Raw genomic sequence first — 23,533 nt, 5'->3', positions numbered from 1 at the left:
CTAAATTTTGTATTTTTGGTAGAGACAGGGCTTCACCATGTTGGCCAGGCTGGTCTTCAACTCCTGACATCAGGTGATCTGCCCGCCTCAGCCTCCCAAAGTGCTGGGATTACAGGTGTGAGCCACTGCACCCAGCTGCTATTTATTTTTTCTTTTTTTGTAGAGACAGGGTCTTGCCATGTTGCCAAGGCTGGCCTGGAACTCCAGGCCTCAAGCAATCCTCCCACCACAGCCTTCCAAAGGACTGGGATTTCAGGTGTGAGCCACCATGCCCAGCCTGAAGTCTATTTTTAAAGCCAATCGAGTGTTGAATAAAATTGCAACTTGGGCTGTTTTATCTTTGCATTTTTTACATTTCAATGGTTTTTAATATATTCAGAGATATACACAAACATTACCACTCAATTTTAGAACATTTCATGACCTCAAAAAGAAACCTCATACCCTTTAGCTCACACCCCCTATCCTCCCATGCTCCTACCAGCCCTAAGCAACCACTAATCGACTTCCTATTTCTATAGAGTTCCATCTGAATGAAATCATGTAGAATGTGATCTTTCATCTGTTTTGAAGGTTCATCCACGCTGTAGCATATGTGCTTTGCTACTTTTTGTGATCAAATAATATTCCACCATGTGGGTAGACAACATTCAGTGTATCTCTACATCTGGTGATGGGCATTTGGATTAATTCCCTCTTTGGGTTATTAGGAGGATGCTACTGTAATTATTCATGTACAAGTTTTTGTGTGGACCTGTGCTTTCATTTTTGAATATGAAAATCTGGCACATTTCCAAGGAAGACATACAAGTGGCCAATAAGCACATGAAAAGATGCTCAATGAAATACATCATCAGGGAAACAGAAATCAAAACCACAATGAGATATCACATCATACCCATAAGGTTGGCTAGAATCGAAGATACAGAAAATTGGCCTGGTGCGGTGGCTCATGCCTGTAATCCCAGAACTTTGGGAGACCAAGGAGGGTGGATCACCTGAGGCCAGGAGTTTGAGACCAGCCTGGCCAACATGGTGAAACCCTGTCTCTAATAAAAAAATAAAAAAATTAGCCAGGCCTGGTGGCAGGTGCCTATAATCCCAGCTACTCGGGAGGCTGAGGCAGGAGAGTAAGTTGAATCTGGGAGGCAGAGGTTGCAGTGAGCCGAGATTGTGCCACTGCACTCCAGCCTGGGTGACAGAGCAAGACTTCATTTCAAAAAAAAAAACATAAAATAACAAGTGTTGGTGAGGATGCAGAGAAACTAGAACCTTCATACACTGCTGGTGGGAATTAAAATGGTGCAGCCACTGTGAGAAACACTTTAACAACTTCCCAAACAATTCTACATAGAGTTACCAAATGACCCAGCAATTGTACTCCTAGGTATAGGCCCAACTTGGGCTCTTTCAATCTATGGAAAATGAACTATGGGTACTTGGCAAGAACAAAGAGGGAGAGAGGTGGAAATGCTGCCATGAGGGCGCATTGATTGGTCTCTAGTACACAGGGCTCCTACCGCAAATGGCCTCTAAGTGACTTCATCAGTTGCTCATAAAAAAAAATCACCCTCTGCTCCAATCGTGGAGGAAGAAGTGTGGATTGGACCTGGTGAGCCACGGTAAGACTGACTGCTAAACTGTATGAGTGATGAGGGGATTTGCACGTATAATCTTGACTGTACTAGATTTTTATTTTATCCACTGTCTTTGAAAACCTAACTCTTGAGTAAGAACTGACTTTCCTGTACTTGTTTTTGACTCTAAGTAAACTTCCAATTCCACATAGTCCAGAGATGATGTGCTGAGAAACCTCTCAAAGGAAAAATGCTAAGAATACAGGCACAGTTATTCGGCAAATTTTGCAGAATTAACACAAATTGCACTTGCAGGTACAAAGCACAAAACATTTTCATGGGTAAAGAAAAAAGTGTTCTTCATTCTAGTAGACGCTGCAGGATGAAGCCGATCAAGGTGCTTGCCCAGCCAGACCTTGGGCTCTTACCAAATTTGTGTTAGAGTCAACTCTGATGGAGTCTGTATCTCAGTCATCTTTTTTTTTTGACATGGAATCTCGCTCTGTCTCCCAGGCTGCAATGCAGCGGTGTGATCTCAGCTCACTGCAACATCTGCCTCCTGGGTTTAAGCGATTCTCCTGCCTCAGCTTCACAAGTAGCTGGGACTACATGTGCATGTCACCATGCCCGGCTAATTTTTGTATTTTTAGTAGAGACGTTTCATCATGTTGGCCCGGCTGTACTCAAACTCCTGACCTCAAGTGATCCACCTGCCTTGGCCTCCCAAAGTGCTGGGATTACAGGCATGAGCCACCATGCCCGACCTTAGTCATCTTTTTATCCTCCACACCTGGCAAGTTCTAGACACACTGTGGTTCCATACAAGTTTGTTGAATAAATAGGAGACAGATAGAAGGTGGGAAATCTGGAAGTAGAGAAGATTCCAGAAATTGTGCATATTTCCCAGAGACTGTGGCCAAATTCCTCAGTCCTGCCAGAGTTTCTCTATCTCAACTGAAACCTTACGTGTGGGGCCAGGCGCAGTGGCTCACACCTGTAATCCCAACACTTTAGGAGGCTGAGGTGGGCAGATCACTTGAGACCAGGAGTTCAAGACCAGCCTGGCCAACATGGTGAAACCCCATCTCTACTAAAAATACAAAAATTAGCCAGGCATGGTGGTGTGCACCTGTAGTCCCAGCTACTTGGGTGGCTGAGGCACAAGCATTGTTTGAACCCAGGAGGCGGAGGTTGCAGTGAGTCACGATTATGCCACTGTACTCTAGCCTGGGCAATAAAGCAAGACTGTCTCAAAAGAAAAAGAAAACCCTTATGTGTGGGCCTTGTTACAGAATTAATGTTTATATGGACAATATGTACATGGGTGTATGTTAAAAGCATGAGTCATCCACAAGATTTTAGCAAAGTCCATTTAGAAAGCTCAATGCTTTGGGCTTCCACTTGCTTTGCTGCCTCTGTCCTCAGGAGGCTTCATCCTTCCATGTAAACAGCAAATCCTTTAGGCAGAGATGTACACAACACACCCCTCTCCTTGGCTATGATACCTTGAAAGGGTCCTCTTGGTGGCCCCTGGTGCTCATTTCAGAGTAGTTCAAAATAAGATGATCAGCTTTCATGCCAATCACTCTACAAATCACTCCTATTATGACCAATTTTTCTAAATGATTTATTGAATTATTACTTAAAGAAATGTGCACATAGAAGAGGTCAACACAGTACTTTTCTTACAAACTGAACATACTGGCCAGGCGCAGTGGCTCATGCCTGTCATCCCAGCATTTTGGGAGGCTGAGGTGAGCAGATTACTTGAGCCCAGGAGCTCAAGACCAGCCTGGGCAACATAGTGAGAACCCCCCCTCTACAAAAAATAAATAAATACAAAAATTAGGCAGCAGTGGTGGCACATGCTTGTAGTTCCAGCTACTCAGGAGGGCTGAGGTGGGAGGACAGCTTGAGCCCAGGAGGCAGAGGCTGCAGTGAGCCATGACGGTGCCACAGTGCTCCAGGCTGGGTGACAGAGCAAGATCCTGCCTCAAAAAACAAACAAACAAACAAACAAACAACAACAAAAAAACACATCTCCATATTACCGAGAACCAATTCAAGAAACAAAATATTACAGCCCCTTCCAGGATATTCCTGGGATCTCCTCCATCTCTACAAACCCCTGACTACAAACAGCCTCCACCTATTTCACCTGACCATTGTACTTTATGAAAGCAGCAGTTCTCAGATGGGGGCTATTCTGCCCCCTGGGGACATTAGGCAATATCTGGAGACACTGGGGGTTGTGTCTACTTGGGGGGAGTTGTGTTACTGCGTCCAGTGAGTCCAGGGATCCAGGGATGCCGCTCAACATCCTAAAATGCACAGGGAACCCCCACACATAGAACAGAGAAATTGCTGAGCCGAAATGTCAGCAGCGTCACAGCTGACACCCTGACATACACAGAATCACACAGTATCTGCTCTTTCGTGCTCAAGATCTCTTTCATTCTAATCATTTCATAGGAAACAGAAATGTCATTTGCAGGCAGGTAGAGCCCAAAACAAAGAAAATCCAGAGTTTTTTTTTTTTTTTTTTTTAATCAGCCTGGTGCCTTTAGAGCTAGGATTTGGTTTCCATTCCTTCTGTCTCATTTTCAAGTGATTTTTCTTCAAATGGCATCTGCTGGGCTCAACACCCAGAGATTCCCACAAAGCTGAGATTCACATGGGAATTTTGTACGCACCCACACAGGTATACACTGCCATTTACATGCAGACATCCACCCACAGATACACACATCCGGAGACCAAGACAGAAAGCAAACTCCACCATAAAAGCACAGTCCCCCAAACAGGAGAAATGCACCATTCACTCCAGGGAGGTACCTATTGGTTTAATTCAGCCTCTGATAAGCTGTTGCCAAGCCCGCTCTGAAAGTCTTCCCCTCTAGGAAAGAGAGATGAAATTTTTCTTTACTCAAGAATATACATCTAAAAAAACCAAACACTTCTGCATCTCAAAAGCAGGCTCTACCTCCTCAGCTACACATATTGATCAGCATTTTATTGTCAATTTTCTTTTATTTGGACTGGAGAAAAATATAATCTAATTATGTTCTTACTGACAGTTGGGAATCAGTCACACTAAATCCAATTCTCTGGGTTCTCATGACTAAGGTTTTTAATTTGGGGGAAAACAAAGCAAAAGCATTGGTGGTGTTTTAATATAATTAGTAGAGAATATATCTAAGGGGTTCAAGTATCACTGCAGCAAGCAGCTCATTCTGCAGTAAAAGGGGGATTCTGACACTAGGATTGAGTTAGGGTGGTTCATGGCTGCACCGTTTTATCAATGTCTCTTCAAGATTCCATGGAATGTGGAATGGGAAAGACTGAAATAGTGCAAGTCTTGGCTAAGCTTCTATCAAGAGGTGTTAGGAGCTGATAAATAACCTAGTCTTTACAGACATCCCACGCTGTAGGTCTCTAAGCTACAGATTCTCAGATTTTTCTATTTCATAAACCAGTAAAAATATTTTTTTTAATTTGAGAACCAACATAAAGTTGCTATTTTTGTTTTTGTAAGAAGGAAATTTTTTAAACTACCAGTTTTGTACCACGCACACACACACACACACACACAAACACGACACACACATACACACAGAAATTACACCATGATTGGTCAGAATAGGTTAGGTTTTGCTGCAATAACAAATAATTCCTAAATCTTGGCAACTTCAAACATCAGAAGTTGTTTTCCTCACTCATGCTACATCTGCAGGGAGGTGTGGGGTGCTCTGTTTTCCATCAAACTTGCCCTAAGACTAAGGCTAATGGGGGTTGCATTACCTCGAGTATCACCAAGCAGGGAACAGAGGGAGAAGAATGCTAGAGAGCCCTGTACTAGGAATTAAATGCTCCAGGCTAGAAGTCTCACACTGCACCTCTGCCCCCAGCCTCTTGGCCAATTCTAGCCACATCCCCTTCCCCACCACAGGGCAATGCATGAAGTCAGGAGAAATGGATACATTACAAATTTCTACCCCATGGCATTTCATAAAAGAGAAAACATGCAAATACAAATATGTTTTAATAGAATAGAATATATACATTTTTAGAATAAAGAACAATCCTCCAAAAAGGACAGCTGGTGGTCTCTCACCAATGGGCACACTTCTCTGATATTTTCTCTGTTTTTCCATTTTATCCTTGACCTATGAACATTTTATACAGATGGTCCAAAGAACACCATGTGGGGACCACTGCTCTAATCAGGTGATGAAAACGGCCCCAAGAACAGAGTACAGTCTCTTTAGCAAAGACCCAGCAGGGCCAGGGTGACCACGTTCTCACCATCAATGTGCAGACATCCACCTGCAGCATCCTCACATCCCAACATCAAACAGTGGCTCTTTATAGCTTGATTCTAATGCCACTTGATCTTCATCATCACTGTAAAGCTCTCTGGCCCCAAGATTTAACATCGCCACTCTAGCTACATCCTGCAACTCTTCAACTCTCCTGCCTCCTCATCCCTCTAAACTTCTCTTCACAACCTCATGTTTCTTTCTTGCTTTACCTTCCTGTTCAGCCTAGACCTTACAGTCACCTTCTTTTTGTAATGTGCTCCTGAACTCATTCTTCCCTTCCTTCAACCACACCCACCTGGAAAATCTCCATACCCCACTGATGACTTGCCTCGCAACTGCCCAAGGGCAGCTGAATGATACTGGAAAGAATCACAACATGGATCTGGTAGTTCCGCTAAATAATCTCACCATCCAACTCTAGGGTAGACTTCACTTCTCTTCAGCAATATTTTTAAGCATCACAAATAAATTCCAAACCATATTTGCTAGAACAACTGACTTTAAACCTCTTCCCTATCTCAAAGCCCCCCAAACCTAGGGGTTTCAGAACCCAGAGTTGAGTTCTCTCAACTCACTTCCATATCACCCCTAGATCACTGTATCTTGACCCTCTTCCTCTGCCTTTCCCATCTTATAAGGAGAAGCATCCTTCTCCTTTCCCAAGCTACCTTCTCCACTTGTGCCTCATTTGAGACCTCCCTTTATCACCCATTCCCTTGGAACTCCCATGACTCACCACCTTCACACTCCTCATTTCACTTATAAATATTTTCACCCTGTATGTGCCAGGCGTTTAACATATAATCATGCTTAAGTCTCCACATGCTAACAAGAAAAACCTTGATTACCCTGCTATGCCCTCAAGTCATTATCCTCCCCGCTCCTTTCCTGTGTTCCCAAACTTCGTTGATCTTCATCAATCCCTCTGATGTAGATGGCTCCGAAGTTTGCATCCTATTAGTTTGGTGCAAAAGTAATTGCGGATTTTGCCATTAAAAGTAATGGCAAAAATAGCAATTATTTTTGTACCAGCCTAGTATCTTTTCTCCTTCTAACAAAGTTCGTCCCTGATCCATCTCATCACCTATAACTACCTCCTCCATGCAGTTGATTCCCAGATCTGTATTATTCTACTGAAAGTCCATTCCCCAACTTTCTCAGCTAGAATAACAGAAGCCCAATTAGAATTCATGCTACCAGTTTCCCACCACCACCACCACCACTGTTGCCCTGCCATTGTTAGCAAAACCTTCTCTTGAGTGGAGCTCAAAGATTTGTAATCTCCCACTTCCCAGAAAGATAACTTCAGACTCAACCTAGAAGTAAAGATCCTCCAGATATGGCCTCAATTACCCTCCAACCCATGTCCCCAGTACATCCCTTTGATGTCCCCTTCAGTGGAGTTAAAATTGTGTGAGTGTTTTTCTTTTCACATACTCCTGGTGTTCTTCCACATATACAATTTTCACCTCTTGAATATTTTCAAGGATTCTCCATGCTACACACAGTGAAATCCAAACTCCCCATCAGGACCCCAGTCTTCCCAAACCCTCTTTGCATTTTTCTGCCTGCATGCTTTTCCTTGGGTCATCCTCTTCTCTAATATAACCTTGTGTATTACTCTAGGTTCTCCAGAGAAAGAGCAGAGAGATAGAGGTAGAGCTATACACATAGAGAGAGACAGATTGATTAGTTGTAAGGGATGGCTCACATGGTTATGGAGGCTAAGGAGTCCTGGAGTCTGCAGCCAGCAAGCTGGGGACCCAGGACAGTCAATGATATAGTTCCAACTCGAGTCCACATCTACACTCAGGAGAAGATTGATGTCCCAGCTCAAATATAATCAGGTAAAAAGAGCAAATTCTCTGTGACTCTACCTTTTTGTTTTGTTCAGGCCTTCAGTGGATTGGATGAGGCTCACCCACACTGGGGAGGAAAATCTGCTTTATTCAGTCTAGCAATTAAATGTTATCCTCATCCAGAATACCACAGAGACACACCCAGAATAATGTGTAGCCAAATATCTGGGCACCCCACAACCCAGTCAAATTGTTACATAACACTAACCATAATGTCTTGCTTCTACTCTCTCGCCATTACTGCATGGTCAAATCCTTCCCTTATCTCAAGGCTTAGTTCAAATGTTACCTCTTAACTAAGCCTTCCCTGCTAACCCCAAATATTAATAGAATTGGTTTCTCCCTTCTCTGATGTCTCAAAATACGTTGTGTGTTTCCCTTTTACTGTATTTACTACAAACTCCCTTATAAATCAAGAGAGTGATTCCCAGACAAATTATCAAAAGAGTATAAAAGAAGTCTTCTTTGAGTGTGAAATATCTCATGGAATATAGCACATGGCCTCTTCATGAAGAAACTACTGTGATAGAAGAAGACAAGCTGGAAGAGGACAGGGAAAGGGGGTTAGTACAAAGCACAATGAGGCTGGGCTCATACAGTGGCTCACACCTGTAATCCCAGCACTTTGGGAGGCCAAGGCCAGTGGATCACGAGGTCAGGAGATCGAGACCATCCTGGCTAACACGGTGAAACCCCGTCTCTACTGAAAATACAAAAAAGTTAGCGAGGCATGGAGGTGGGCACCTGTAGTCCCAGCTACTCAGGAGGCTGAGGCAGGAGAATGGTGTGAACCCGGGAAGCAGAGCTTGCAGTGGGCCGAGATCACACCACTGCACTCAAGCCTGGGTGACAGAGAAAGACTCCATCTCAAAAAAAAAAAAAAAAAAGAAAAGAAAAAGAAAGAAAACACAATGAAATGTCAGTGGATGGGTGCCTATAATTTCTAAGGGAAATAGAGTATAATCCAAGAATTTTATAGCCAGCTAAATTTTTGCCCAATCAAAATAGGCAAAAGACACTATCACATGTTCAAGAACTTAAAGAATACAGTATTTCTGAGCTCTTTTTTTAAAAAAAGTCTCCATAATAAAATTTAGTCAGCCAGGAAATTAAAAAATAAGCAACTTGTGAATTGAATGACCATGACAAAAGGCTAGTGATGAGAGGTGAATCCATTTAAAAATAGGACTATGATTGCAGAACAGAAAGAAAAGGTGGTCAACCTCAACAATATAAAACAACCTAGAAATAACTAGTTTCCAGAGGTAAAGGGAGGGACTGTAGGAAGTAGAAGTGCTAATGACCTTTATTAAGTCAATTAATCAGGTCTAAAATTGAAACATGGTTTTAAATATGTAACTTCTTGTTTATTTTCCTCCCTAACTACCTGAGGATCAACCACCATGATGAATGACACAGTAACTATCTGGACCAGGAAGTTCATGACCAATGGACCACTCCAGAGGAAACAAATGGTCACCAATGTCCTTCACCCCGGAAAGGCAACAAAATGTACAAGACCACAATGGATGTCATCTTCATATTAATAGTTGGACTTAGAACCCGTTTTGGTGGTGGTTAAACAATGGTCTTTGGCATGCTATCTGGTTCTTTGAATTATGCAAAGAAAAATGAACTCAAACATAGACTTGCAAGACACGGCTGGCATGAGAAGAAGATGACCTCAAGAAAACAGCAAAAGGAATGCAAGGGCAGAATGAAGTCAAGAGACTGCAAAGGCCAATGTCAGTGCTGGCAAAAAGCAAAAGGAGTAAAGATTTTGCAATGACTTTATTTGCAGTGACTGTACAAATTTTTCATGAGATGATCACTCAACTGTAAGGACTTCTACATATATATAAAACATCTTAATATTTTTCATCATCTTTGATTTCTTAGATGTTCTAGAAACTGATTTTTAGTGAGGAAAAACTACATTTATCTGAGTTGACCAGTTCCTTCAGTTTCACTTCCATTTCTTTTTCTTCTGATAAATTTACCCAGCATTCAATTTGCTACTTCTTGTTTTTAAAATCTCATTTTGTGTGATCAGAAGTGTCTGTTCATGTCTCTAGCCATCTTTGTGCATAGCAAGGAATGCTGTTCACTTAATATTAGGAGGTTTATTTCTTGGGGTCGTGAGATTTGGGGTGATTTCTCTCCCTTTTTGTACTTTTCTGTATTCAGTAATTTTTTGAGACAATGTCACCAATGTCCTTCATATTAATATTTGGACTCAGAACCCATTTTGGTGGTGGTTAAACAATCGTCACCCACATTGGAGTGCGGTGGTATGATCTCAGCTCACCAAACCTCCGCCTCCCAGGCTTAAGCGATTCTCCTGCCTCAGCCTCCCCTGTAGCTGGGATTACAGGCGTGCACCACTACCGCCTGGCTAATTTTTATATTTTTAGTAGAGATGGGGTTTCACCTTGTTGGCCAGGCTGGTCTTGAACTCCTGACCTCAAATGATCCACCCGCCTTGGCCACCCAAAGTGCTAGGATTACATGTGTGAGCCATCATGCCCAGCCTTTTCTGTATTAAATTTTTTAAAACACAACATTTAAAATAATCAAGTCATTCTTTTTGAATCTACTTTGTATTATAGGTATCCAAATACTCACCTATTCTCTCTTATGTGATGACAAACTTGTTGAAATGTCATTTCATTTTGTGGCTCCAGCCCCAGGGATTCTGACTGATTCTAAAGGGCCTGCATGCAGAGTGAGCAAGCCGCCTGGATGATTCTCTTACAGGTGTTTTAAGGGCAGGAATTTGAGACACCCTGATGCAAAAGAATGAACCCTCAAGGAAGTTGGCTGTACATGTATTTTCCTTCCTAGCACAGGAAAAGACAGAAAGATTATCCAATCGGTACCACTCATAGCACCTGATTATATGTGTGTAAGGGATTCAGAAATGGTTTGATCAAGGCTGAAGACCTAAAAAGAGGCTCTTCTCTTGGACACCAAGTCCCCATCTCATGCGTGGTTGAGTTAGTAGAAACTGAGGATGATGCCTCTTCCTCCAGCATTGGTATCCCATGGTTTTTGTTGTTCAGTAGATGAAGTACCTCCATCCCCCAACATCCTCAAGCTCTATCCCAGTTTCCTCACATACACTTTTTTTTTTTTGAGACAGAGTCTCGCTCTGTCACCCAGGCTGGAGTGCAGTGCAATGGTGCAACCTCAGCTCACTGCAACCTCCACCTCCCAGGTTCAAGCGATTCTCCTGCGTCAGCCTCCTTAGTAGCTGGGACTACAGGCATGCATCATCATGCCTGGCTAATTTTTGTATTTTTAGTACAGACAGGGTTTCACTACGTTGGCCACGCTGGTCTGAAACTCCTGGCCTCAAGTGATCTGACCACCTCAGCCTTCCAAGTGCTAAGATTACAGATGTGAGCCACCGTGCCCAGCCTCCTCACTTACACTTTTACAGAAGATCTGATCATACTCACTCCGCAGAAGTCAGAATGGCCCCCACGTCGTGTTAAACGGGAGTGAAAACTTGAGTTCAGTCAACTGAGGGTGACAGAGAAACATTTCCCCCAAAATGCTTTCGGCAGCTCTGCTGATCCATAACCTGGCTCCATTTCAGGGCAAGACCTCCACTTAAGCTGCACTGGCTTCCACTACAGTAAATCACATTGACTCATGGCAAACAAAACTGAAGAGCAAAAAGTTTCTTTTTAAAATGATTTTTTTCACTCACTTACCAACACACGTTGGCCTCCCTAGAGCCTGACTGCATCCAGCACCTGTTCCACTGAGCACCGACTGAAAGCTCAGCTCATGAGCTGAGATGACCCAGACATCAAGGAGTTTACAATCCAGAGGAAGAACAGACCTGAATACAAGTGATGACAATACAAGATGGAGTCAAAGAGCCCAACTTGAAGTTTCAGCAGAATAGCACCAAAGACTAGTTCCCAACCCAGCTCCCAGAGCCAGAGCCAGAGCCAGTCTGGCTGCATGAGATCACCTGGGAGCTTTTGAAAACATAGGTCCTAGCTGAGCCCCCAATCATCAAACTGGGAGTCACTGGGAGTGAGCCCAGGAATTGGTGTATTTAATAAGCACCCACACACACATGATTCTGATGTTCCCAGGGGTTGTAGAAACATGGAACTATGGAAAACGCTAAAAAAAAAGGTACTAAAAGAAACCTATAAATATTCACTACCATCCCAGTCATCATGAGGATGCTCCATGTGCACTATTTACAATACTTAGAATAACCTGCAAGGAAAACACTCATTCATGACGATGGGCTTTATCGGGAACAGAGCCAGCCCTGGGAATGCTTGAACCTGCGCTGAAGGTCACCCCCTCCTCCCCACAGGAGGGGGCTAACATTAAGGAGCAGGGGCCAGATGGGAAATGGAGTGTCCTTTTATTATGAGACCACAGTGAGAGACTTTTTTTTTTTTTTTCCAGAGTCTCGTTCTTGCCACCCAGGCTGGCATCCAGTGGTGCAATCTCAGCTCACTGCAACTTTCGCATCCCAGGTTCAAGCAATTCTCCTGCCTCAGCCTCCTGAGTAGCTGCGACTATAGGCGCCCGCCACCACGCCTGGCTAATTTTTGTATTTTTAATAGAGACAGGGTTTCACCATGTTGGTCAGGATGGTCTTGATCTCTTGACCTCATGATCCACCTACCTTGGCTTCCCAAAGTGCTGGGATTACAGGTGTGAGCCACCACGCCTAGCCTGAGACTTTCAAGTAAAGCCACAATGGACCACAGAGCTTAGACATCAGTGCTAACATGGAATCTCTGTCATTAAATATTTAGATCTTATTATCTTTGCTCAAAGAAAAAATTATCACAATTGACATTTTGAGGACAAGACATCTGAATGTAAACTTGATCTTAAAGGATATTAAGGAATTACTGGTAATTTGATTGGGTATGACAATGATCATATAAAAAATGCCCTCATGTTTTTAGAGGGAAAGTAAATTACGTAGGGGTGAATATCATGATGTAATTACATAACTACTGTAAACTTTTTTAAATAGTTCAGAAAAACAAATGGAGTAAATATTGCAAATGTTAATAGTTTTTAAACCTATGTGATGGGTATATGATAGCTCATTAAACTAGTCTACTTTTATGTATATTGAAAATTTTTCATAATAATAATAATAAAAACCTTAGCCAGGCACAGCAGCTCATGCCTGTAATTCCGGCACTTTGGGAGGCCGAGGTGGATGGAGGACTGCTTGAGCCCAGGAGTTTGAGACCATCCTAGGCAACATAGTGAAACCTCCTCTGTACAAAAAATAGACAAATTAGTCAGGCATGGTGGTGTGCACCTGCAGTCCCAGCTACCCAGGAGGCTGAGGTGGGAGGATCACCTGAGCCCAGAAAGTCAAGGCTACAGTGAGCCAAGGTCATGCCACTGCACTCCAGCCTGGGTGACAGACCCTGTCTCAAACAAACAAACAAGCAAACAAAAACCCTCTTGATCCCATTTCCCCAAAAAATGATTTTTTTTGAGATCTTACCATCTCCTGGCTTGGTGCAGAGTACAGGAAATCAAGACAAAGTACAGCACACAAGGAATAAGGAGGGAGGGAAGCATGGGGGAGGCTATCTCTGTGGACTCTCCCAGCTCAGTCGACCCATGCGCCTTGCTTCATGGAAGAAAGGAATGGAAGATGAATCATGCCTTTCACACACAGTGACCTTCCTCAATAGTAAATGCGCCCCCAGAAGTGTCAAAGAACTCAGTGCCAGAGCCAGGCTGGCTGCATGAGAATCACCTGAGAGCTTTTGCAAACATAGGCCCCTGCTGGGTCCACATGTATTTATCTCTTGGAGAGGAGGAGAGAGGCAGAACAAGGAAAAGGATGGGAAGAAACCAGCCTTGTGCACAGGAGGATGCTGGGATTCCTCCTGCATGTTTGGTGCAATGCAGCCTATTTTACAAGGTCACAGAAGCTCAGAGAGGTAAACCTGCCCAGGTTCTCATACTTTGTTACTGGCAAAACCTGCCCAAATCTCTGTCTCTAGAAATATTTCCACTTGCTTCAACTCTGGAGCTGTCTTAGTTGTAAAGATGACAGATTCCACTCATCACTCACTTTTGTTTGCAGATATTGCCTAAGGTCCCTTGTGAATATTTAGGTCAGGGCTGCTTTTTTGAGTTTTTTTTTGTTTGTTTGTTTCTTGTTTTTATTTACAAAGCAATCTTGTGGAAAGAATCCAAAGTGTCTCCCCCATTTAAGAACCTGTAAACAGGGAGACCAGAGTCTGGAGTCCTGGTCTGGTTTCCACACCTTCCTTAGATTTCCCTGTGTGTAAAATCCAACAACAATCTTTGACAAATTGCCTCCCCCGGGGGAGAGATGGAGGAAGTGTTCACTTTGCCTTTTTTTTTCTTTCTTTTTTCAGACAGAGCCTCGCTGTGTCGCCCAGGCTGGAGTGCAGTGGCGCCATCTCAGCTCACTTCAACCTCTGCCTCCTGAGCTCAAATGATTCTTGTGCCTTAGCCTCCCAAGTAGCTGGGACTACAGGCAGACACCACCACACCTGGCTAATTTTTGTATTTTTAGTAGAGATGGGGTTTCACATATTGGCCAGGCTCGTATCGAACTCCTGGCCTCAAGTGATCCACCGCCCTCAGCTTCTCAAAGTGCTAGGACTACAGGCATGAGCCACCCTGAACAGCCACTTTGCTATTTTTGTTAATAGACAGCTTCGAGGTCCAGTATGAGTTCACTGATTAGGAAACATCACAGGCAAAGAAGAACACTTTGCATTCAAATAGCAGAATGTTTTCATTTTCAAAGAGCTCTCACCTGCCATCTAATCTTGTCTTCCTAGCAGTCCTGGGAGAGAAGCAGATGTGGTTTCCAATACCACTTTCCAGAAGAGGAGACTGAGGAAGAGGCTTTACAGACACACCGAGGATATGTGAGGACAGGTGAAGGTCATGATCATTGTCAGCCCCCTCCCCCAACCGGACATTCCCAGATCTGGTGGACTTCCAGCCAGAGGAGACAGAAGGACTGGATCGCTCAACTCTGCCAGGGGTGCCAGGACCCAATTTTTCCCTGGCTAACTCGGTCACCTCCTGTCTGGGATCTCCAACTACTACCCATCCCACAAGTCTCAGCTAAAACAGCAATTCAACGGGAACTTTTTTCTGAGGCTCCAGGATTGGGCCAGACCCTCTCCATGGCTCTCTGCCCTTCCCCTACTGCAGAACTTAGCACCTGTATGTCAGTATTGGTTCAAACATATTTCTTTCGTATGCTCTCCACGTTATCTGCAGCATCTGCCAATAATAATGAATGGTAAAACCTAATCTCTATTGAGTGTCGATGATGCACTTTTAATGTGACATCTTATTTAATCCTCACTATATCTGCAAGAGTAGAAGCTATTAATAGCCAATTTTCAGATAAGAAAATCAAAGCACAGTTTCTGTAACTTACCCAAGCAGCTAGCTAGGAGGCAGCTCAGTTTGAGCCCAGGGAATCACATTCCAGAGACCGTGTTCTCAATTACTAGAGCAGATACCTCCCCAGAATCTCGTAGGTGGTTAATGAGTCTTTGTGGAATAAATGAACAGAAGGACAAACAGATGGACGGATACATAGGTGGGTGGGTGGATAGATGGGTGGATGGAAAGATGGGTGGGCAGGGAGGTGGACGAATGAATGGATGGTTGAGTCGGTGAAGGGATGGCTGAGTGGGTGGAGAAATGGATGAGTGGGTGAATGGGTGGAGGGATAGATAAATGGATGGACGGGTGGGTGGATAGATGGGTAGATGAGTGAATGGGTGGATAGATGCATGGGTGAGTGGATGGATAGATGGGTTGGTAGGTGGGTAGATGGATGATAGCTGGGTGCGTAAGAGAGTGGGTTGGATGGATAGATGGGTGGGTGGGTGGACAGATGGGTAGGGGGTGGATGGATGTATACATGTCTGGATGGATGGATGGATGGATGGATGGATGGATGGAAGGGTGGATGGATGGATGGACAGAAGAACAGATGAACTTGAGCATTTATGCAGGGTCCTTCAAAGAACTGAGTGATTTCCCTAGGGTGTCTCATCACCTGCAGGTGGGTGGGCAAGGGGGCTTGCCTCTGTAATACTCATGATAATGGGTAGTGCTCAGCCTTAGTCACCACTCTCAGAACACTTTATTGACCAGGAAAGTCAAAACTGGCATTGACAACTAATGCAAATTACAGCTATAACTAACAGAAGATGTTGATCTGATGATAGCTGGACAACCAATAATTAATAATTTGGCCATGTCATGTTACTGCCATGCTGGGCAGGTAGAGCCAGGGGTTCCTTAATCCCTGCATCACATTAAGGATGCTTATCAAGACTTCCCCAACCATGGGGACAGGGATCTTATCAAATACTTGCAGTTCACCCCAAAAGGCTCACACTCTTCACTCCACCTGCACATGACCTTCAGCTCAAAGACATTTCCAGTCCTCCAGGTCAGCCCTTCTTCCAGCCTTTGAATTAACCCTGATGACTGCCTGCCCATTAGGTGTCTTCATCTTTCATCACACATCCTTTTCCAAGGTTTTCCTTCAATCCAGCCCTCACTAAATGCTGGAACTGTTGTTGACAAAATCCAGAACAAGCTGGGTGGGGGATGCAGGTGGGAAGCAGGCTGTAGTAATGGGGAAAAATTCTAAGCAATCTCGAACACAGAAAAGAAACTGAACAGGTAAGAGAGAGGCTGTCAAGAGAAGAAGTGTTAATTTTGCATAACTGAAGCTGAAGAAGATCGGGGGGGCATGGCAGACCACAAGATAAATATGATATAGACTCCTTTTTAAAAAAGTGTAAACACCAACCCTTTCCTATTGACAACTGTGCTTCAAATATTGCTAAGGTCTTTACTAAAGGCGAGTCAGAAAAACGGAGTATTTTATGCAATACAGTAAGAAGGCCCATAGGCAAGCATGTTCCTGACACCACCTTCTAGGATAAGCCCTGAGATTCTGGTTACACCTATCCTAAAGTTGTCTCTCACTCCTGCTGTTGGAGAGCTACCATGAGAGAAGAACCATAGTGAAGTGGTTTAGAGTGTGCACCCAGCGACCAGTCAGATGGCTTCAAACCATCACCACCTAATACTGAGCAAGTTACATAATGTTCCTGAGCCTCAACTTTCTCATCCGTAAAATGGGTATGCTGTCATTCATTAATCAAACTCTAGGTGAGCATATACTAAACACGAGAGACACAAATGAGAATCAGGAACAGGCATGGCTCTGGCCCTCATGGTGACCACAGTCTTGAAGGGGAAGGATGACATGCTCAGAAATAGGAAGCCGTAGCTGAGCTAGTGTCTACCACAGAGAGGCACCTGGTGTCATGAAAGCAGATAACAGGGGGTTGCTGTGACTGACTCAGTGTGGCCAGGCATCCCTGAGGATGTAGTGACTCCACTGTCAGATGAGACTGTGACCAGGTGAAGAGGTAGGGAGAGGGAAAATCTTTCAGGCAGAAAGAGCAGGATGTGCAAAGGCCCTGTGGCAGGAAAACAGCAAAGGAAATGCAAGAGCCTGAAAGAGGCCAGAGAGAACAAGTGAACATGTGGATAATCACAGCACCCACCTCATACAGGACTTGCAAGAAATTGAGAACCTGTCTGTAACAGATTCAGCAATGACTAAATAGAAACTATCTCCTAAAAGTGCAGCATGAGGCTCCTTGGTGGTATTTCCCATGTGAGGCTGCCATGGACTCAGAGGCCAAATTCCACCTGCCTGTAGACAACCTCCAAGCCAGCTGGACACACATACACACTCAGGCTCAGGATACCCAGGACAGAGTTCTGGATGCTTGAAGTCGTGATAAGTATCCAGAATGACACAGAATTCCAGCCGGGCATGGTGGCTCACATCTGTAACCCCAGCACTTTGGGAGGCCTAGGTGGATCACCTGAGGTCAGGAGTTCCAGACCAGCCTGGCCAACATGGTGAAACTCCCTCTCTACTAAAAACACAAAAAAATTAGCCGGGTATGGTTGTGGGTGCCTGTAGTCCCAGCTACTCAGGAGGCTGAGGCAGGAGAATCGCTTGAACCCGGGAGGCAGAGACTGCAGTGAACTGAGATTGCACTATTGCACTCCAGCCTGGGCAACAAAAGTGAAACTCTGTCTCAAAAAAAGAAAGAAAGAAAAAAAGAATGACACAGAATTTGCTAAAGGGGGAGAAAGGGCTTCCTTCCAAAGCTGGACCTGGTTTCTACAGAGAGTTTTTCAGATGAAAATTAAGCAGCTCTTTGCAAGCAGCTCTTTGCAAGCACCTCAGAGGAGAACCCCTCCCCCTGATGAATCAGGCACACAGGCGGATCCAAGACAATTGGCTGCATGCATGTGAACAAACCTATGGTGGAAATGCAGTTTTTTATTTGTCTGGAGTGGTTTAATCACCAGGAGGGAGAAGCTTCTAAAGCAGCATTCAGAGGTGGCTGTTGCCTGGGTTTTCTGGAAGGGGGAGGCGGTGAGGATGAGGGCTTCCATTTCATCTGCAGGCCCCTTGCAGAAGGAGCTGGGGAAAGCTTTGAAGCCATCTGCACACTGTTTGCCATCTTGTCTGGCTGGGCAGCTGAGCTCCAGATGGGGGTGGATGGGATAGCTCTTGCCACCGTATTTGGAGAAAGATGGCAGGGAAGTCAGCCCCCGTGAAGAAGACAGGAGCAGGCAGGTGCTGGACAGTGCTGCCCAGGCCCCTGGGGCTGAAGTGTCCAACCCCACAGCCTCTAGGTGTCACTAAAGCAGCCCGAGAGGATCTTCTCTGTCCATCTCCATCCTGGCACCTACAGACACTTGGAGACAGTCCTTCACATGGGAACTCACAAATGCACACTGATAACCCCCACATGGAACTCTCATACGTAGGAAGTGAAAAGACAGGATGCCAGTTAAACTTGAATTTCAGATAAACAACAAATCATTTTTTAGGGTAAGCAGGTCCCAAATATTGCATGGGATATATGTGCACCCAAAAAAAAAAAAAAAAAAAAAAAGGTTAATAAGAAATTCAGGTTTAATTGGACCTCCTGTATTTTACCTGGGAAGTCTAACCCTGCATAAACACAACCTCGAGCTTGAAACTCAGAGAAGCCACGGCCGTGCTCAAACAGGTGCACAAACCCATATGCCTTACAGAGTCAAGGGCTGTGATGGGGGTCCCCACCCTTGCACACTTCCCTGTCCTCTGTCTGGGCTCAGAGTAAACAGGGGGTCACCTGGCATCCACGTCTAAGCTGGGCTTGGAGGTGTCCTAATGAAGCAGGATGCTGACCTGCACTTCCCCAGCTCAGCGGGAGCTGCAGCCAGGCCTAGCTTCCAGTCTCGGGCCTAGAACACACAGCACAGCCCCAGACCTTGGCAAGAAGGTTTCATCTCAAGGGCCACTGGCTCAGGACCTATTAGAAGCCCCACTTCTTTCCTCTGTTTCTGCTGCCATTGCCCCAGTCTCTGACCCTGCCACTCAATCACTCTATAAACACAGCAGGTACTAGGGGTGGCTCTGGGCTCGGCAATAAAGACAATGCCCCTGGTAAAGCCACAGTCTAGCAATGACAGTCAACCACGTATCAGCAACAGCCCTGCCCAACATGTGCTGACTGTGCACAAGGCCAGCGCTGTGAACGTGCTCTCAACAGTGATCTCACTGAACCCTCATGGCAGCTCTAGGATGCAGACAGTAGCATCACATTATCCCCATTTTACTTATGAGAAAACTGAGGCCTGAAGAAGGCAAACACAGGCCTCGGGATTTACAGTAACATTGCCAGGAATGTTTGAGAAAGGAAACTTCTCCAGAGTGAAGCAGTCTGCCAGAGCTCAGAAGACAGAGTCCCTGTTAGCAGGGGCTGTGGGGACTGGGGGCAGACAAGCGGGTAGGGGCTGGACCCCCCCAGGACATCAGGGTGCAGACTGGTGTGAGTAAAAGAAAGAGAGGCGGTCGTGCCATCATCTGCAGAAGATGATGTCTACAGAGGACAGTACCATGTGAGCCCTTGGGAAGCAGGATGACTGGATGGAATTTTGCACAGGATGCAAATTAAGCGCAGATCCCCCTCTGACCTAGACAGCCCACCTCCAGGAACATCTCACAGAAATGCACGCACAGAGCACCAAGTGATGTGTGCGAGGAAATTCATCAGAACACCGTCTGTGATTGGGAAAAGGCAGAAACCATCCAAAGACGTATCGGTGCAGGGCTGGTTAAACGAAGCGTGGTGCATCCACACGTCAGAATAACTGCTGGGAGAAGAAGGTGGTTCCCAGGTTCCAACGTGAGACAATGTCAAAGACATGCTGCCTGAAAAGCAGGCTTTCCAAAGAATAAATATAGCATTATTCCATTTTTTTAAAAAAGGTTACAATAAACACTTATGTGCAAATACATGTGCTTGTGTGCACAGAAGAAAAAGGTGTGGACAGGAACAGAAAACCAAACTCTGCGTGTTCTCACTCATAAGTGGGAGTTGAATAATGAGAACACATGGACACAGGGAGGGGAACAACATATACCAGGGCCCGTCGGAGGTGGGGGACAAGGGGAGGGAGAGCGTTAGGACAAATACCTAATGCATGCGGGGCTTAAAACCTAGATGACGGGTTAACAGGTGCAGCAAACCACCATGGCACATGTACACCTATGTAACAAACCTGCACATTCTACACATGTATCCCAGAACTTAAAAAATAAAAATAAAAGAAAAAGGTGTGGAGAGGTATACCCCCACCCTCCCCAGTGTTACCTCTGAGAAGCAAGATCAAGAAAATCAAATCAAGAGGAAATTATGTGTTTTGTTTTCTATATAATTTTTTTTTTTGAACAATAGTCTTGCTCTATTGTGCAGGCTGGAGTCCGGGGACACAATCTCGGCTCACTGCAACCTCCTCCTCACTGCAACCTCCTCCTCACTGCAACCCCCTCCTCACTGCAACCTCCTCCTCACTGCAACCTCCTCACTGCAACCTGCTCCTCACTGCAACATGTTCCTTCTGGGTTCCAGTGATTCTCTTGCCTCAGCCTCCCAAATAACTAGGATTACAGGCAAGCACCACCAAGCACGGCTAACTTTTGTATTTTTTGTAGAGACACGGTTTCACTATTTTGGCCAAGCTGGTCTCGAACTCCTGACCCACCCGCCTTGGCCTCCAAAAGTGCTGGGATTACAGGTGTGAGCCACCACACCTGGCCTGCATTGCTTGAATTCTCAGACCACATAGACCCTCTCATCTGGCCCAATTGCAAGAGTCCAAGGCAGGAAAGGAAGAAGGCAGGGACTTACCCTTCCATCAGGACAACATAGAACAGAGTCAAAAAAGAAAAACATGAATGGATCAGTCAAGAGGGCCGTGCACGTGCCCTCCCAGGCACCTATACCTTGCAACTTAAGCCGACAGGCTTTCAAGCCACAGAGTCTTCCTCCCCAGAGACTAGCAAGGACACAAGACCTGGCCAAGCCCCTCCAGGAGGATGGTCTGAGGGATAAGGTGGGGTGCACAGTCAGGGGTGGCAGGAGGAAAGGGGGACACAAAGCCCAGGAAACCAGGGCAGCCCATGCTTCCTGAAGGCCCCCAGAACACGGCGCTACACAAAGCCCCTGTGTACCTGTTTCTACAACAGCCTGAACACAAGGAAAATCAAGATAAGGAAAATACACAAAGCCCAGCCTCACCTGGAGCAGGTTAAATAAAGGTGTGTGACTTTGTCTTCATGTCCTTTGGAATTGGAAATCCAAGCTGCCTCTTCTGTGCCTTTAAGGTCCTGGCTGCTGCCCCACAGCTCCCTTCTCTTCCCTCCTCCTCTTGTTCTGACTTTTTCTTTTTCTTTTTTTTTTTTTTTTTTTTTTTGAGTTGGAATGTTGCTCTGTTGCCCAGGCTGGAGTACAGTGGCACAATCTCAGCTCATTGCAACCTCCACCTTCTGTGTTCAAGCAATTCTCGTGGCTCAGCTTCCCAAGTAGCTGGGATTATAGGTGTCACCATGTCCAGCTAATTATTGTATTTTTAGTAGAGACAGGTTTTCACCATGTTGGCCAGGCTAGTCTCAAACTCCTGGCCTCAGGCGATCCACCCACCTCGGCCTCCCAAAGTGCTGGGATTACAGGTGTGAGCCACCATGTCCAGCCCTCTTGTCCTAACTCTGCCATCTCTTTGCAGTCTCCCCTGAGCAGCTTTCCCTGGGCCCGCCCTGCCCCCCTCCAGTGCTGCACTCTCAAACCACCCCACAAAACCACCTGGCCCTGGCTCCTGCCCTGGGGCTATGATCCTCAGCTGGTGAGGTCTAGAGGGTCAGAGGGAGCCAGACTCCCTAGAGAAGCTAAGGCAGGAGCCCTGTGCTGGGCTGTGGGTAACCTGCCCCCTTCCAGCTGGGGCCGAATAGAAGGGGAAAGGCTGCCCCCAGAATACAGGGCTCTCAGAGGCCCTGGAGATCTGTGCTGGCAGTCAGGAGGACAGTCACCTCAGCGCAGTTGCCTGCAAGGAGGGCTGTGCAGGAAGCTGCATGTTGCTCAGAGAACAAAAAAAGGAAATTAAATGCACCATCTGGTTATTAGCATGAACTTTTGAGACAGACACTTAAATATGCATGCCTAGACTTTATAAAACTTGGGGGAAATGTTAATTTCAATAACGCCCGTTCTCGTGCTTGCAGAAACCATTCTTTTATCTCCCTTCCTGGTAAGTTGGGGTCTCCATCCCTCAGAGTGGCAGCGCCAAGACAGCTGGTCTCACTGGGTTTTGTAAGCTGTGCAAGGTGAGATCCCAAGCCCTTGCCTGGAGACCCATCTTAGGAAAATGTTAGAACAGGGCAACAAGTGGCCATTTCCTCCCTCCTTTCTCTTCCCCATACAAAAATCAGAAAGCACGCTAGCCCAGTGCCCAGCCATAGTGGTGAGGAAACCCCACTCAAAATCCTGGGTTGTGCCCCTGATGCCAAAGACCTGCAAAACTGGGACTCACCTGCTGAAACCCTAGCCCAGACTTATGTACATTTCAAGGGCAGCTGGACTCATGGACGCCTGGGACGTCAGGGTGGTACAAAGTCCTCTTAAACTAAGACTGTCAGGGTACAAGGATCAGCATTTTTTTTCCTTTCTCTTGAGGGCCAGATGGTAAATAGCTCAGCTTTGCAGGCCATGGGTCTCTGTCCCAACTATTCAACTCTCCACTGTAGCAGGAAAGCAGCCACAGACAATATGCACTGAAATGGGTGTGGCTGTGTTCCAATAAAACTTTATTTGTATAAACAGGCAGGGGGCTGGTTCTGGCCTGTGGGCTACAGCCTGCCTCCTCTGCTACAGCGTGATCTCCAAGGACCCATCCATCTCCTAGACCAGCAGCTGGCACACAGGAGCTGCTCAGATACTTGAAGGAGGAATGGAGAAGGAAAGCAGCCCTTAGTGTGCAGACGTGAGGGTCTCCCAGCAGCACCATCCTTTGCCATCTCATGCCCAGGGACAAAGCCAGAGCAGGGTTCTCCTCCAAGGAAATGTGATAACAAGACAGAAAGCATCGTGGAAGGATAGGGGCTTTGGAGTCCCACAAACCACAGTTTGCAAAATCAGGAGCATCCTGCACTTCCTTGCACACATCCTGGGTGGGTGCTGGAGCATCTAGACTTAGAGTGAATCTTTTCCCCCTCCTCCCCAAACTGGCCTCCATTACACTTCCAGCAACAATGTGGTGTATGTACACAATGGAATACTATTCAGCCTTCAAAACGAAGGAAATCCTGCCATTTGAGACCACATGG

The 23,533-nt window shown here is 45.5% G+C and overlaps 1 non-coding gene and 1 pseudogene across 1 annotated transcript; both read left to right on the top strand.

The window, feature by feature from the left end:
* Positions 6,831-6,979, top strand: MIR548I2 (microRNA 548i-2). The gene has a single exon (NR_031688.1). It is a non-coding gene; the product is annotated as a microRNA 548i-2 (primary transcript).
* RPS24P11 (ribosomal protein S24 pseudogene 11) lies at positions 9,020-10,112 on the top strand (annotated as a pseudogene).

The sequence above is a fragment of the Homo sapiens genome, chromosome 4 (assembly GCF_000001405.40).
Source record: "Homo sapiens chromosome 4, GRCh38.p14 Primary Assembly".
NCBI classification, from domain to species: domain Eukaryota; kingdom Metazoa; phylum Chordata; class Mammalia; order Primates; family Hominidae; genus Homo; species Homo sapiens.
Note: the sequence above shows the minus strand (reverse complement) of the source record. Positions and strands in the feature narration are given on the sequence as shown.